This window comes from Homo sapiens, chromosome 14 (assembly GCF_000001405.40).
Source record: "Homo sapiens chromosome 14, GRCh38.p14 Primary Assembly".
Taxonomy (NCBI): Eukaryota; Metazoa; Chordata; class Mammalia; order Primates; family Hominidae; genus Homo; species Homo sapiens.
Genome location: NC_000014.9, coordinates 89,205,074 through 89,220,580, shown reverse-complemented (window position 1 = coordinate 89,220,580; position 15,507 = coordinate 89,205,074). Strand labels below are relative to the sequence as shown.

At 44.0% G+C, this 15,507-nt stretch overlaps 1 protein-coding gene across 2 annotated transcripts in view, besides 1 other annotated feature; it reads left to right on the top strand.

Annotated features, from left to right (window-relative positions):
- FOXN3 (forkhead box N3) overlaps nt 1–15,507 on the top strand; it is a 462,989-nt gene that overhangs the window by 398,585 nt on the left and 48,897 nt on the right. The window lies entirely within an intron of this gene.
- Nucleotides 14,973–15,474: an enhancer, noted in NCBI's record as "H3K4me1 hESC enhancer chr14:89671451-89671952 (GRCh37/hg19 assembly coordinates)". NCBI's record gives its function as "activates a minimal SCP1, AML or CMV promoter by ChIP-STARR-seq in primed H9 embryonic stem cells {active_cell/tissue: H9 hESC(primed)}" and the evidence as "EXISTENCE:reporter gene assay evidence [ECO:0000049][PMID:30033119]".

Here is a 15,507-nt window from a genome sequence, read left to right as displayed (position 1 = left end):
GGTGTACAGTAGGTAGTATGAAGTAGGTAGTATGGAAAGAGCCGTGTGTGTATTTGCAGCCAGGAAAAATCAGTCGTATCACCAGCACACAGCTTGCATTGCGGGTCCTGAAAATGGTGATGCTTTAGTTGTATCATTTAGATCTGAAGATGGTGCAGCACTATTCAGTGCTGTGTGCCAGCTACTCTGTACATGCTTTCTACACACCAGCTCATTTAATCCTCAGCCCATTTTACAGATAAGAAAACTGGAGCACAAAGAGGTTAAGTATCTTGACTGTGGTCACACTGCTGGTAAGTACTGGAGCCGGGATTTGAACCCATGCCACCTGAATCCAGAGCCTGCATCCTCAACTGCTCTGCCACTTTCCATGGTCTGAATTGGAACCAAGGGAGGCCGCAAATGAATCCAAAGCATGTGGCTTCTCTGGGAGATCTGCTGGGCCTCGCAAGAGGAAGAAGAATAATGTGATGAGAAGAAAGGAGGAGGAAGGTGTGGCTTGCAAAAAGCATAGCAAAATGGAGCAAAGCAAACATAAAGTTCAGCTCATCAGTTGATATCAGTATGGAATTATATACATCATTATAATTTTAAAAAAATAGTCAACTGCAGACCGATGATTAGTTCTGTAAGTGGCAAGGATCCTGCCTGAGACTTCTCTCCTAACAGCTTCTGGCAAACCTAGCCCAATGATACCTCAGTGCTGCATCCCAGCAATCTCAGGGGCGCTGCTGGATACATATCCTATTGGTCAAATGGAATATCCAACCAACACAGCTTTAATGACAACTGTAATAGTAGCTAACATTCATTGACAATGCCTACAAACCAGGCGCTGTTCTAAGGGCTTTGCGTGTATCAACTTGTTTGTAAGGGAAGGGGGTGCTATTATCACATTTTCCAGGTGAAGAAACTGAGGCACAGAGCGGTTACGTCAAATTGCCCCAAGTTGTACTTCCAGTACGTGGTAAGAGTCGCAGCCATCCACTCGCCAGATGTTTGATGACAGCCCACTGCATGTGGTGCCATGCTCTCGGGGAACACGGGCTAAGGAAAGACAAGGCCCTTTCCTCATGGGGCTGACATTCATGGGAACACATGTGCAAACACAAAGTTAGAAGCTCTGAGCATCTCCAATAATGCCTTTATTAGTCCGTTTTCACACTGCTATAAAGACATACCTGACGTTGGGTAATTTATAAAGTAAAGAGGTTTAACTGACTCACAGTTCCACATGGCTGGAGGGTTCAGGAAACTTACAATGGTGGCAGACGGCAAAGGGGAAGCAAGGCATGTCTTACATGGAAGCAGGAGGGAGACAGAAGGGGAAGTGCCACACTTTTAAACCATCAGATCTCGTGAGAACTCACTGTCACGAGATGGGGACATCCACCCCCATGATCCAGTCACCTCCCACCACCTCCCTCCCCTGACATGTGGGGATTACAATTCGACATGAGATTTGGGTGGTGATACAGAGCCAAACCATATCAGTGCCTGTCAAGTATTAAGCAGGAATTTCTTAGGGGAAGAAGGGAGTTGACAAAGATGCAGGATTGAGAATAACAATCTGTTAAATAAAAGGAGAAAATAAGAATAAATGAGCTTTGCTTATGGAAGACCTTGGAAGGTTAGGGAAAGTCTTAGCGGGTGCTGAATTGAGAATAGAGTTTGTGTATAGAAACAAAGGCTTCCTACGTTGGTTCCTAATGCCACAAAACGTACAATAGAAGTAGGGTCATAATGGTGACTGTTCAGTCCAGACCTCTCATTTCACAGATGAGGAAAGCAAGACCCAGAAAGTCTCTTTTGAGTCACTTTCCCTAGAAAAGCAGCCCCACATGTCCACAGCCAGACGTGTGCAAGGAGGCTCACTACAGCATTCTTTATAAAAGCCAAAGATTGGAAACAACCTAAAATGTTCATGACCAGGGAAATGTTGAAATAGATTGAATTTCAGCAATGAAAAGGCATGAGCCATATCCCTCTTGAATAGAAGACAAAACTTATCATTGAATGAAAAAAGCAAGCTGTAGAACAATGTATACGTTTGTCTTCACATGTGTAAAACACACACAAACTTAATACTCAATTGTTTTGAAAGACACAGATGCTCATCTTCATAGAAAAAAGCTCAGGACAGGTGCACACCAAGGTTGTAAGGTTACCTTTAGGGAAAAGGCAAGGGAATAGGATTGGGTGACCTCTCTTGTGATGACCTGAGTTTTAAAATAAGCAGTTGTAGTCTTGTATTAATCTTGTGATTAATTAAAAATCACATGATTAAAAAGGAATGCTCCATTGACTTGTCCGATCATAGTCACTGAATTAGTTGAAAAGGCAAGTCTAGGACCAGTCAAGTCTTCTGGATCCCAATCCCCACCCACACACCCAAATATTACACAGATAGGTGCAGGCATGGCGGAGAGGGGCCCAGGGGGAATTAAGGGCTTTGTAACCAGCAGTGAATTGCCAAGGAATCCCAGGAACCATAAAAATGTCAGTGAGTGAAACCGGGTTTTGCTAAAAGAGTATGTGTTTTTCAAAAAAGATTCCAATTTCTAATGGCATTAGTATTCCAAGCAGCTGAATCCCAGGCTGGAAAAAGGTACAAATGATGATTGCTCATTAGCAAATAGAATACAGATGTTCGGTTCATTTTGCCTGAGTGCACCAGCACCTCAGGGAGCCACCAGCATAGCGAGCCAGGCCCGGCAGCAGTGCTGCAGGCTCAGCATTGGGGAGGGCTCCCACAAACAGGAGGGAAGTGGGTCACTGCAAAGCTGGCGGGGACTGGACTTTGTTCCTTCCCTTTGGTAGTTTGTTGGGACCCATGGGTGGGCATGGGAAGCTGACATTTCCAAAGGAACTACCAAGACTATTTTAAATATAATTTTTAATTGTGCTTTTAAAGAAGATGTAATTCTTCACCACCTCCCTATGAACTAGGGTGCATGGTCCCCTTTGGAGAGGAAACTGAAGCTCAGAGAAGTGAAGTGGGTTGCCCAAAAGCACACAGCAAGTGAATGAAATGGCGAATTAGAACCCAGATGTGTTTGGCTCCAGGACTCTGAGTCTTTGGCACTCTTCTTACTAGCAGCTAGGCGTGGCAGAGGTGAAGAACACATAAAAACATTTTGAGGCCAGGCGTGGTGGCTCATGCCTGTAATCCCAGCACTTTGGGAGGCCAAGACAGTAAGGATTGCTTGAGCCCAGGAGTTCAAGACCAGCTTGGGCAACATAGAGAGACCCCATCTCTACAAAAAGGAAAAAAATAGCCATGTGTGGTGGCAGGTGCCTGTAGTCCCAGCTACTTGGGAGGCTGCAATGCGACAGGAGGATTGCTTGTGCCCAGGAGGTCCAGGCTGCAGTGAGCTGTGATCGCAGCACTGCACTCCAGCCTCGATGACAGAGTGAGACCCTGTCTCAAAAACGAACCAAAAAAACATTTTGAGATCTCACACCCTTGTCATTTTCCTAAAACAACTGTTTCTTTTTTGAGCAGCTTCCAGATTTACATACCCCGTTTACCCAGGATCCTCCTAAAAGAGAAATTAAAGAGTTATCTTCAACAGAATCAGCACAGCATAGGGCCAGGCTGGGGGAAGGGCAGATATAGAGAATAAGAAGATGCCATTTCCACACTCCTTGCCCTCAAGAAGCATCTGGCCTGGTTGTAGGGTAATAAAAATGGAAAATCAGATGGCTGTGGAAGGTTTTGATGACAGCCACACGCAGCAGGGAACAATGAGGATTGTGGATTGTGGAAGGTGGATTTTCATTAAGGGGTGGGAACAGTTTTCTTAGGAAGAAAGTCTGGGGAAGTGATTCTAGATGGGTGGCATCATGGATAAAACCGTCTAAGACCAAACCTGGCCTGAGGTCAGTGAGAACCTGGCTGGGGGACATTTGGTTCAGCAAGGGCCACAAGCCATTGGGCTTTGAATGCTGGAGAGCAGAGTTGGACCATCTTGAAGGATGGAGAAGAGCCTACAGAAGCTTAGAAGGAAAAAGGGGCCTGAGTGTGGTCCCATGAGGAGAGTGGGATAGCAGGGAGGGAGACTGAGGCAGGGAGACCTGTTGGAAGGTAGTTCCAGAGGTTCTGGCACTAAATGTTGGGCACCCGGGTTAGGTTGTGGGAGAGTGGCTTAGATGCATTCTGAATGCATCTATTCTATGATGGTGTTATAAACTCCTTACCTGCCGAGACATTTTCCCCTTTGACCTATGCCTTACAGCTGATTCTGCCTTGGGTAAACATTTGGGTTTTTGTGTTTATCTGTTTTTTCTTTTTTATCAAGCAGGGATGATGGAAAGTTTGTACCCGATTAGAGCATAAAGCCTTTTATTGCTGGAATGATTCCTCCTTGAGCTACCTCCTCCCTCCCAGCCCCTACCCTACACCTGTGTGCGTGTCCACAGGAAGTCCTCTGTAAGTGCCTGTTAACCAACTTTCCTATCACTAGGATACATCAGCCTAGGCACCTGTAGCCCCATAGGGCACTGGACTGCTCAGCTTAACTCTTTGCTCCTGGGCACAAATGGTCACTTCTGACTTTTGATGAGAAAAGGTAGGCATTCCTCTAGAACAACACTTGGCAAATTAATATACTTTATCAGGAGGTCACTGAGGTTCTTTTCTTAAGAATATGCTGGCTTGTCTTTAAGGTGAGATGAAGAGTTTTAGATACAAGGAGCCATTTCATTATTCCGTCATCTGCCCAGCTGTTAAGATTTTAAGATAGCAAGTCATCAAATTTTCAGCTGTCTTGCCGCCGCCGCCAGACGCAGGAATGTTGCTGTAGGTCTCTTGGGCCAACAAATTCTCCTGACTGCCACACTGCAGAAATTGCACAGAAGAGCCACTTTTCTTCTGCATTTCATCTGATGGGGATTCACAACTGGAGACATGCCATATGAAAAACAAAACCAGCTTCCAGAAACAACTGACTTTGACTTCTTGTTCTAAAGACTGAGAGTTTTTCTGCCACTTTCACCAAGTCCCCACCTTCTTTAAACGGGTAGAATTCAATGTGGTCGGATGCATTTTGCCTCAGGGGTATAAAATTAATTTAGAAATGACATTTTAAATAGTGGAAGCCTTTTATATAATGATGTGAAAATTATTCTGCTTTTGAAAATCAAAATCAAACATGAAACAGTATGTCTCTCTGTAAAGAAGTCAGATATCTTGTTGGGATATTACTTTGGCTTTCTGCCAAAAAAAAAAAAATCTCTATTCTCCTAACTCTGAAGAAATGAAGCAAAAAAGATATTTGAGGAAGGAGGAGGGGATTGTGATTGTTTTATTGAGACTAGAATCCAGATTTGCAAAGCAGCACTTCTTTTTTTTAACTCTAACCCAGACAAAAAAAAAAAAATTGGGTTCCTTCCCCAAATAGAATCTCTAAACTGTATCTAATGAAACTTGAATAACTAGTTTGGATTTTAAAAGACAGAAGACCCTGCCCATTGCTGACTGCAGTTTAATTATGTAATAAACCAACCAATCCTGTTTTTGTCTGGTTTAGACGCCTTGCAAAATATTTTCCATAGAATATACTACCCTCGCCTAATGTACCTTCTCCCTTTTCTTGTTAACCATCTGATGGTAAATTCTTTTAATTCTGCTTATTTAAAGCACTTGGCTTGCCTCACCTTACCCGGTAATAGTTTTATAGTCAGAAGCAGCATCTGGCCTGATGATAAGAATCAGAAAATGGAATTGTATTACTCCCAAGGAGCTAGTTGTAGCCTGTGCTTTTTCTTTCAAGAAAATACTCTGCTTAGATAGAAGGCATTCACATTACGTGGTCCCCACTGGGCTGAGAAAAAAACAGTCTGACAAAGTGCAGAAAATATGGTTAGCTCCCTCAAAGTCGAGCCACTTCCAGGGTCGATGCCAGTGAAAGGAAACTTGGGTAGAGTGGGTCAGCATGAAGTGCCTGCCCTGGAAAAGGGTCCTTTCCATCTCTCCCTCTTTTCACGGCCGTAATTGAGTGAAGACTATCACCAACTTGACTTACAAAAGCTGCTGTTTGCTTCCTTCTTGTGCCCCAAAGTAAACAAAATAGGCAGGTTCCTGATTCGGAGTGAGTGGCATGGAGCCCAGGCCTTTGTTTGCTGTTAAGTTGTCGGGGCAGCGGAGCAAATAGATGTGAAGAGATTAACCAAACAAGAAGGCCTGGCAAGGGTGACCCTTTCTGTCCAGCCAAGGGAGTGCAGTCATCCGCACGGTGCAGGAGGCAGGGACCTGGTCTCTAGTAGGGACTTGCACGTACAAACCTGGTCCTCTTTCAACATCGGGTGGAGCTGAGGATGACGGAGCTTGCTTCACAGATGATAGAATCCATTTTAGAGGTTTAGTCCAACCCCCTTCTTTTACAGATAAGGAAACAGTGGCCATCCGAAACCTGCCCAGACTGGTTGGTAGGTATTTTAAACAAACAAACAAAAAAGATATATCATCAAAGTTGAGAGAGAAGGCACACTGAATTATTTGTTCATCTTTGGGAACTTTGTAACTTCTTCCAGAACATTTTGCCACTTTTTTTTGTTTGCATATTGCCCCAAGAGACTTAGTTTTTAAACTCTTTAAAGATCCGTGAGAAAACTCATTGAGTAAAGACCCATCTGTCAACAATGTACATGGTAATATTATCTTTGTTACTGTTACAGTGAGTATAAAATTTAGAAGAAACAATAGCTTAATAAATTATTAGGTATAGCCTTAAGCAACTGCACCACAATTTTTGATATTTGTATGCCTTCTTTAAGAAACATAGTTGTCAAATTTCCTCTGGGGTGGGGGCAGTCTTACTGCCTCCCCCAGGACAAATGGGAAAGGGCCTTATTTATTACCTCTCTTCAGTATTTTCCACACAGGGTGGGCTGAAAGGCTCATGTCCTCAAACCAGTAGCTAGCCAAAAACAAATACTTAAGTTTTACTTATCTGTATATTTCAGCTGTCTCCCAAAACAGAGAGGTGACTTATAATGATAAGGTGCAAGAAACAATGGAATCAGCCATCCTTAAGGTAGGGTTTTGAAACAGTAGCTATATGTTTCAAAAAGGGGAGAGAGGGACAGTCACTCTGCAGGGTCTAAGGAAACTAGAGTGACCGATTCAAAACCCATCTTCGAGTTTCCTAGCAGCTAAGGCAAAAAGAGAAATATGGTACACACAGCTCTTATTTCTGGTATAAGTACACATACCAGTGAAGTGCCTGCCTCTAAGAATGAGCCCCTGTCTTGGGGCTTTCAATGAGTAAGGTAAGAAATGTCTTTAACAGAATTTAATGTAGTTACGAAGGTTCCACAGATACCCTTTTCTTATGAGGCCCTTGGTGAAAGGCAAGGATTCAGAGCTGAACTGAGGTTGTCTCCAGGCAATGCTGTATGGAAGGTTGGGGGAGAGATGGGCAGCAGGTGTGTGGTCACATTCTATCCATCTGCTCTGACACTTCCCTGTGCCTGGGAAGGATGTTGGACGGGGAGGCCTTAGCTGGCAGCCAGGAGCATGCCCAGATGGTATCTCTATGTCCAGAAAAACAAAATGAGGAAATTCCCCCTCCCTCTACTAACCTTGTAAAACTGCAGAGGCCTGGTCTGCCTTTGAGTGGCTTTTTGAAATTGTCAACTTAAAAGACCTGAGTTTTTTATAACGTATCTCTTTAGCAACAATGAGCTCCAGAAAGTAACTGCTCCTTAGCGGTGTCAAACCTGATCCTCATTAAACCAGCAGAGCCCTCCTGGAGGCAAACAGCTCTTTGGGCCCTCCAGACATGGAGGATTTTAATGATGTGCCTGGTTCTGTGGTCTGAGATACAGAAGTGATAAGTAGTTTAAGGGGTTGAGGCAGAAAGGGAGGCAATACAAAGAATTAAGTATTTACAAAATTGTTGGAAGGGCCAAAGGAGGGGGACCCAGGCCAGCCTTTCAGAAATGATTTCCAGAATCCTAAGGAGCCAGCCACCAGGCAGGCTGCCATCGCCGGATCTGTGTGGTCAGGAACACACCTCATGGCTGTGACCCAGAGCCCACTGCCACCCCTGCAACTGCCTCTTGACACCCAGGCACTGGAGAATGGGCACTGGGAGGTCACGGCAGGAAAACCCAGCCTTTCTGCAGCATTGCAGGCCACTCACACAGCCAAAGGGGGCCTCACCTCACCTCAGCCTGACTTCATCTAATTGGCAGAACTGAATTTACCCCCAGAACCCCAGCTGCAAGGAAGTCTGGAAGATGAAGACTGTAGCTTCCCAACCTCCGCAGTTTGAAGGAGCAATCCACAGTGCCCCCAACACACGATCCTTGTGAATTGTGAGATTCTGATAACATAACACTGGCCAAAGAACATGTCTTATTCTATTCCAGCTGCCATAACAAAATACCACAGACTAGGTGGCTTAAACAACAGAAATGTATTGTCTCACAGTTCTGGAGGCTGGAAGTCCAGGATCAAGGTCCAGCAGGGTATGGTTTCTGGTGTACAGACTTTCACGTCTGGCTGTATCATCACCTACCCTTTTTTTCTGTGCTTGTGTGGAGAGGGAAGAGGAGATCTCTCTTATGTGGTCACTACTTATGCTACTCTTATAGGGCCACGAATCCCATCATGAAGAACATGACCTCCTCTAACTCTATCACCTCCCAAAGGGCCCTATCTTCAAATACCATCAAATTGGAGGTTAGGGATTCAATGTATGAATTTTAGGGAGACATAAACATTCAGTCCCTAGCAGAACACATCTTCCTGTTATAGCAAATATTTCAGGATCATCCCAGACCAAAGGATCATAATGCTTCCTTTTAGCAAGGGGAGAGAATTTCGTTCTGTTCTGTTGATGCTCTCTGGGGTGAGACTCAACCTAATGATGAGTGAATCTGAAGCCAGTGCTACCCCTTTCTGTATAATCCACTCCTAAAAGAATTGGATAAAAGCTATGGACCCTTTCCAGAAACATGCACAAATTCCCAGTGTCTACATGTACTTTCTGCAGGTTTAAGTCTTCCTGTGGACTGACCACCTACCCCAGATCCCTCTTTGTAGCCTGTTTCCTGTTCTTTCTTCAGTATAAGCGACTCTTTGCTCCTCCAGAAACTGCTTTTGTTTGGGTGGTCATCAGCAAGCCATGGTACTGTTGATCAGGTCCCAGGACACTAATGAGATTCAGTGGTTGGAGTTGAGAACTTTCTGTCCACATCCAGAGAGAGAATTGGTTTCTACAGTTGCATACACTGAAGCTCTGATTAGGATCTTTCCTATTACCTTTAGTTAATAAACATGACCAAGATAACTTGGCCACTTTGGAACATGAAGATTGTGATAAAAATGAATTTACTTGCAAAGCTTAATCTCCAAAATTGCTTTGAATCTGGGCTCAGGTCCCTCCAGAAGTAAAAACTGCACAGTGAAACGTGTAGAGTGACATCAGCTGGCTTGGGTGGGACACAGTATATTCTAGTTGAAAGGTAATGAAACTTTTTAAAGAATTGGATGAATTAACATCTTTATGTGAAATGGAATCAATACAATAAATCCACTATGGCTTTGTTAGCTATTCTCTTTTGTTTTTTGGTTTTTGCAACATGTCTAGATGGAGAAAATAAGCTGCCAGAGAGTGGAGAAATGTAAAAATTAATTGTGTTCTGTAGTCCAAACTGTATAGTTTCTTTGGAGAATAAAATAAAGCAAAATGAAGTGAGCCGAATTTGCCACTCAGCAGATGCCAGGATTTTACCCTGTCGATGGAGTGTTTCACTTTGATAACCTGTCTGATGAACCACCCAAGGAAGGGGCTGACTCGATAGCACCTCTGTTTTTAACCCTTTCCATTACTGGGTGCTGAGGTTGTCCTTACACTGACAAATAACTAAATGAAATGTGCAGTCTACAACCAAAATGTAACTAAAATAGGAAATGATGGTCTTTAAATACGTGGCTTGTTTGTGTTAATTAATGCTGCAAATGACACTTAGGGATAAATATAGTAGAGGCTGATTTACTGAGCAGCAAAGCAAAACTCTAGAGAATCAGGGCTTTTATTTAAATAGAGTATTTGAGTGACAACAGTATGTGTCTTAGTCCATTCTCGCATTGCTGTAAAGAAATACCTGAGACTGGGTAATTTATAAAGAAAAGAGGTTTAATTGGCTTACGGTTCTGCAGGCTGTACAGGAAGCATGGAGGCACGTGCTCAGCTTCTGGGGAGGCCACAGAAAACTTACAATCATGGAGGAAGGTAAAGGGAGAGCTGGCATTTCATAGGAGGGTGAGAGGGGCGGGGGCAGGCGCCACACACATTTAAACAACCAGATCTTGTGAGAACTCCATTGCAAGAGCAGCACCAAAGGGATGGTGCTGAACCATTCATGGAAGATCCACCTCCATGATCCAGGTACCTCTTGCCAGGCCCCACCTCCAACACTGGGGATTACAACTGAACATGAGATTTGGTGGGGACACCGATCCAAACCGTATCAGTATGCTAGGTGCTGTGTCAAGCCACAGTTCTGGGACTGTGAAAAGTAGGCACATATTTTGCAAAATACTTGTGTAGCATGGAATTGGAGTTTCTCAGCCAAGTAAGTACATGAAATGTTCCAATAAATAATGTAAAACATGAAGAATTTCCCACCGAAAAGTTTCTCCTTATCTGTTAACAATGGTGGAATGAAGTTCATCAGTGCATCCGCATTGGTATATCATGCAGTGACTTTATATTGAGATGCAAATGCACTAGGCCCAATTAAATACCGTTGTTGTGATGTATTTAGACTTGTTCCTTTGTGTTGTTTTACTGAACCAAAAGGAAATAGTCATATTTCTTAGTAGTGACATGCCTAGAAAAGGAGTAAAGCAATTATTCTTTTCTTTAAACTCTAGTTTTGGCCATCTCTGAATAGTGGGTAAGTTTTGCTTTTCTGAATAAAGAAGTGTTTACAAATATAGAGAACATCATTCACTCCCAGGTTCTATTCAAGAAAAGCATATTGGTAAAAACTGTATTTCTCAGGGCCATTTATTCAAAGCCCATGCCTTCAAGCAGGAATCGTCACTCCGCTGTGTAAATGTTGTGGTGTGACATTGTCTGCTATTTATCTGAAACTGTTTATGTCACACTTTGGAATTTTCTGTTCCTCCTTTCAGCCGGGAAGGAATTAGCTGGTGCTCCAATATCTCTCAAATTTTTCTAGTGTTGGCTAAGGATTTGAAATATCATTGGAAAAATATTGGCCATTCGTCAGGGTTATTGAATACCTATTGGGGAAAGGTAAAGGAGCAGAAGCTCCTAATACGTAAAGGAATGGGAGAGGCACAGATTAGCTGCCTGGGCTTTGTGTTGGAAGCAAGAACTGGAATTAACGTGGCCGCCAGATAAGGTGGTAACTACAGCTGGTTCTGTGAGTTCCTCACCCCTGTGATTTTATCATCACATTTGTTTATATCATTCATATATATGGAATATCCAGTGAGTCCGAAGTGTTTTAGAGTAACAAAAAGTTTATTCTTCCAAATATCCGTGGAAGGTAGGTGAGTACCTCATTTTATTTTAGTGTGTTTGTCGTTGCGTGGTTAGGAAATGAGGCCTTTGAGAGGACTTGTCTAATGTTGTTAAAAAAGAAAAACTGGGAGATCTTCTGTGTTTCTCTGGAAGGCATCACTGGGATGTAGCTTCTTTGATGTTTAAGAGACAGGTGGAGGGGTCGAGCAGATTGTGGCTCAAGACCCTGGTTGAACCTGGCTCCTGTCTCAGCCTCCATCCAGCCCGCTAATTCAAGTAGATCTTTTTCACACTGTTCATCAGTAAGATGATTTCAGAGGGTCTCTTTTAGCTCAAAAATTCTATTATTCTGTGCTTAGAACTGAGAGAGTCTGTCTATATGAAAATCCAGGCAGGTTGCATTTCCCCACAGACAGTTCAGTCTATATAATGGTTTGGGCTGTAGGAGCTCGAGATATTGCTAGGTGGGGCCAATTATAAGGTATAATAGTATAATAAGTCAGCATTTTTAAAGTGAAAGAGTCTCTGTAGCAATCTTACAAAATACTAAAGTGGAAAAATGATCAGAAATTGATCTTTTCAACTTGGTGATTCCATGGATAGACAGTAGATGCACATCATCACTGGCATATTAATTTGAGTCGTTGCTTTTGCCTTTTCCCCAGTAAAAAGCCCTGGCTAGTCTGTGTCTATTTAAAGAAGTAAAATGCTACTCAGTGAAAAATGATAATTAGTAAACCCTAAACAGATTGAAGTTCCCCAGGGAATAAGCGCGGATGCCTGACCTCAGAAGTTGCAAAGGGACCCTGGCTGCCCATCATTGTCACGCCAATGGGTAGGGCCCGTACCCGCCTTTTTTTGTACTTCCCAGCATGTAGGCCAGCCTGCCACAAGAGGTCAATTTGGATACTGTGGTCACATTTTAAAAAGAGAACTATAATTATGACCTCTCATTATGTACAGTGATGCCTGCTGAGTTAAAGATAATGGCACTCCCTGCCTGAAAGTATCAGTTAATTGCCTGCAGGGGTCAGAAGGGTGCTCATGTCTGTCCCCTCCCGCATAGACTCCCCCAACCCCAACCAGGCATGCACTGAAGGCAGACACACTTGGGCCTGCTGTGCTTCTCACGCTGTTTAAGCACCAGGTTTAACCACTGTTTAACACTGATTATAGTGGAAGGTCAAGTTTAACTCATCTGCAAGAGGGAAATAAAACTTCAATGAGCTTAGACCTAGCCTGTCTTCCCTGATGGCATTCTTGGAGCACAGTGTCACCTGGAGCTCCATGTTATGGGCCCTGTCTTTGTTGACAAAGGGTACATTCCACATCTGGTACAGTACGTTTAGTATATTTTGCTACCATTTTTTCCCCATTAAAACTTTTTACTGTAGAGTATTTCAAATATATCACAAAAAACAGAATCATGAACCCTTGTATACTTTTCACCCAGCAGTCATCAATCCTGGCCAAGTTTATTTCATCTGCCCCTGTCCCACTTTCCACCACCTCCTTCACCCCCAAGTAATGAGGATTTTGGAGCAAATCCTCAGTTATCATATAATTTCTTCTGTATGTATTTCATTACGTATTTCAATAATTTACAGATTCTTAAACATACAACTATAGTAATATCAATAGCACACCTTATAGTGTTAACAGTTCCTTAGTATTTATCCCATCGGTGTTTGTATTTCCCCAAAAGCTTATAATTTTTTAGCCAGTTGTTTTTTTTTTAATCTAGACTCAAATAAAGTTCCATACGTTGTAACTGATGGATGTGTCCCTTAGGTCTCCTTTAAGCTGGAGGAGTTGTGTTGTTTTGTTTTGTTTTGCTTTATTTTGTTTTGTTTGAGATAGAGTTTTGCTCTTTTTGCCCAGGCTGGAGTGCAGTGGTGCGTCTCGGCTCACTGCAACCTGCACCTCCCGGGTTCAAGCGATCCTGCTGCCTCAGCCTCCCAAGTAGTGGGGATTACAGGTGCCTGCTACCATGAGTTCTCCTTCCATATTTATCTACCACTGTCTTTTTCTCTTGCCGCTACTGCTACTACTATTGTTGTTCTTATTGTTAAAGAAGAGATTGAATTGTTGGCTTAAAAACAGATACTCATTTTTATTTCCCCTCTGCTCCCCTCTAAATCTCTTCCCCTAAACATTTTATGGCCACACTGTCCTTTGGCATAGTCAAAGTCTGAAGGCTCCCAGGCACGGCTTAGGCTTAAAGCAAGCTTAGTTTAAAAAAAGAAGAAAAAAAAGTCGAAACTCTTTCTAGAAGAATGTTGAAAGGATGAGAGAAAACCGCAGGCATGATGGCAGTTACGGTGGTTGATTTTTCCTTCTCTGTTTTCCAGTTTTCTTTGTTTCGTTTTGCTTGTATAACACTAGCTGTAATTTTTTTCCTATTGAAAGATGAAATATGGTTTTCATGGTACGGAACGAACCCAGTTGCCGTCATGAAGTAACCTGATCCACCAGCTTGCCAGGCGGGCCTGCAGAGCGCCTCTCCAGATGTTTTTGTCCTTGCTGCCGCCCCACTGGGAACGGAAACCTCCGCTGTCCACGCCATCATCTTCCGTCGATCTTACCCTTCCAATCTGCCTGGGTCTGTTCATCATATTTTCTGGCGATTATCAAGCCCTCTTGGTTTTTCCAAAAACAAGTATGCCCCAGATACAAACTGAAGAGCTCTATTTGGCTTAGCATTTACAGTTTTGTCTGGAATGAATACGCAGCATCCACAAGAGGAGACCACGTTTGGCCCGAGCTCACCTCCTTTAAAAGCATGTGTCCCTGACCAGGCTCTGGCCCTCACGCTTGGGCCTCCTTTATTCCTCATGACACTTACTTAGTGTTTGTGCTTATGTACGGGGCGTTTTACCCACTATGTTAGTCCATTCAGGCTGCTATAATAAAATACCTCAAAATGGGTGGCTTATAAGCAACAGAAATTTATTTCTCACAGTTCTGGAGGCTGGGAAGTCCAAAATCAAGGTGCCAGCAGATTCCGCGTCTGATGCCAGCTTGCTCTCTGGTTCTAGAGGGCATCTTCTTGCTGTGTCCTCCCATAGTGGAGGGGACGGGCAGCTCTCTAGGGCCTCTTTTATGAGGGCTCTCATCCCATTCATTGAAACGGGAGAAGTTCCCTTAACCCGCTCCCAGGGCGCGTGACAGGGATGCAGCTTGCTTCTTCAGTGCCCCATTGCTCAAACCCCTAAGGGGAGCATGCAGACGGGAAGGTCGTGGGGAGCGTTTTTGGCCCCTGACCTCACAGCAGCATCTAGGGTTGAGTGTTTACAGCTCCCGAAGCCCCGGTGGGCGTGTGTTACAGGGCGCTCTTTCAGTTTTGCCATCTGCAGGCGGCTTGTGTTAATCAGCTCAGTTAGACTCTCTGCCTTATCACAGAGGTGGATGGGGAGCCAGAAGGTGGTCTTCCCCTGGCATGGAGCAGACTCTCCTCCAACCACCTCCAGCCAAATTCCGCGTCGTCCCGCCGTCGATGGCCTGCTGGTGTCTGTTGGTGTCGGTCGATGTGTTGTTCTGCTCCTCTTAACGTCCAGCCGCTTACGTCAGTGCCTACTAGGGTCTTGGGTTTTTGTGGGCACACGATGGGAGTGTGGCAGGCCAGAAGGCAACTTTTTGGGCATGAAAGCAGAAATGCCTGTCCTCATTTAGGTCCTTGGGCACAGGCCCAAGGGTGGAGCCCTCGCCAGGGACCCCGCCCTTCTGTACCCGGCACTTCCCGTGTCATCATGAGGGCCCCTCCCTCATGACCTCATCACCTCCCAAAGGCCTCACCTCCTCATGCTTTCACCTTGGTGATTCGGTTTCAACATAGGAATTTTGGGGGACACACACATTCTGATCACAGCACCCACATAGACCATGTGGCTAGAAAGTAAGGAACTTGCCTTTTTTTTTTTTTAAATCAAACACATTCAAAAAAGAAGCATCTTTCAAAGTAGACTCCTGACATGCAGAATACTTGTCCAGGGATGTAGCC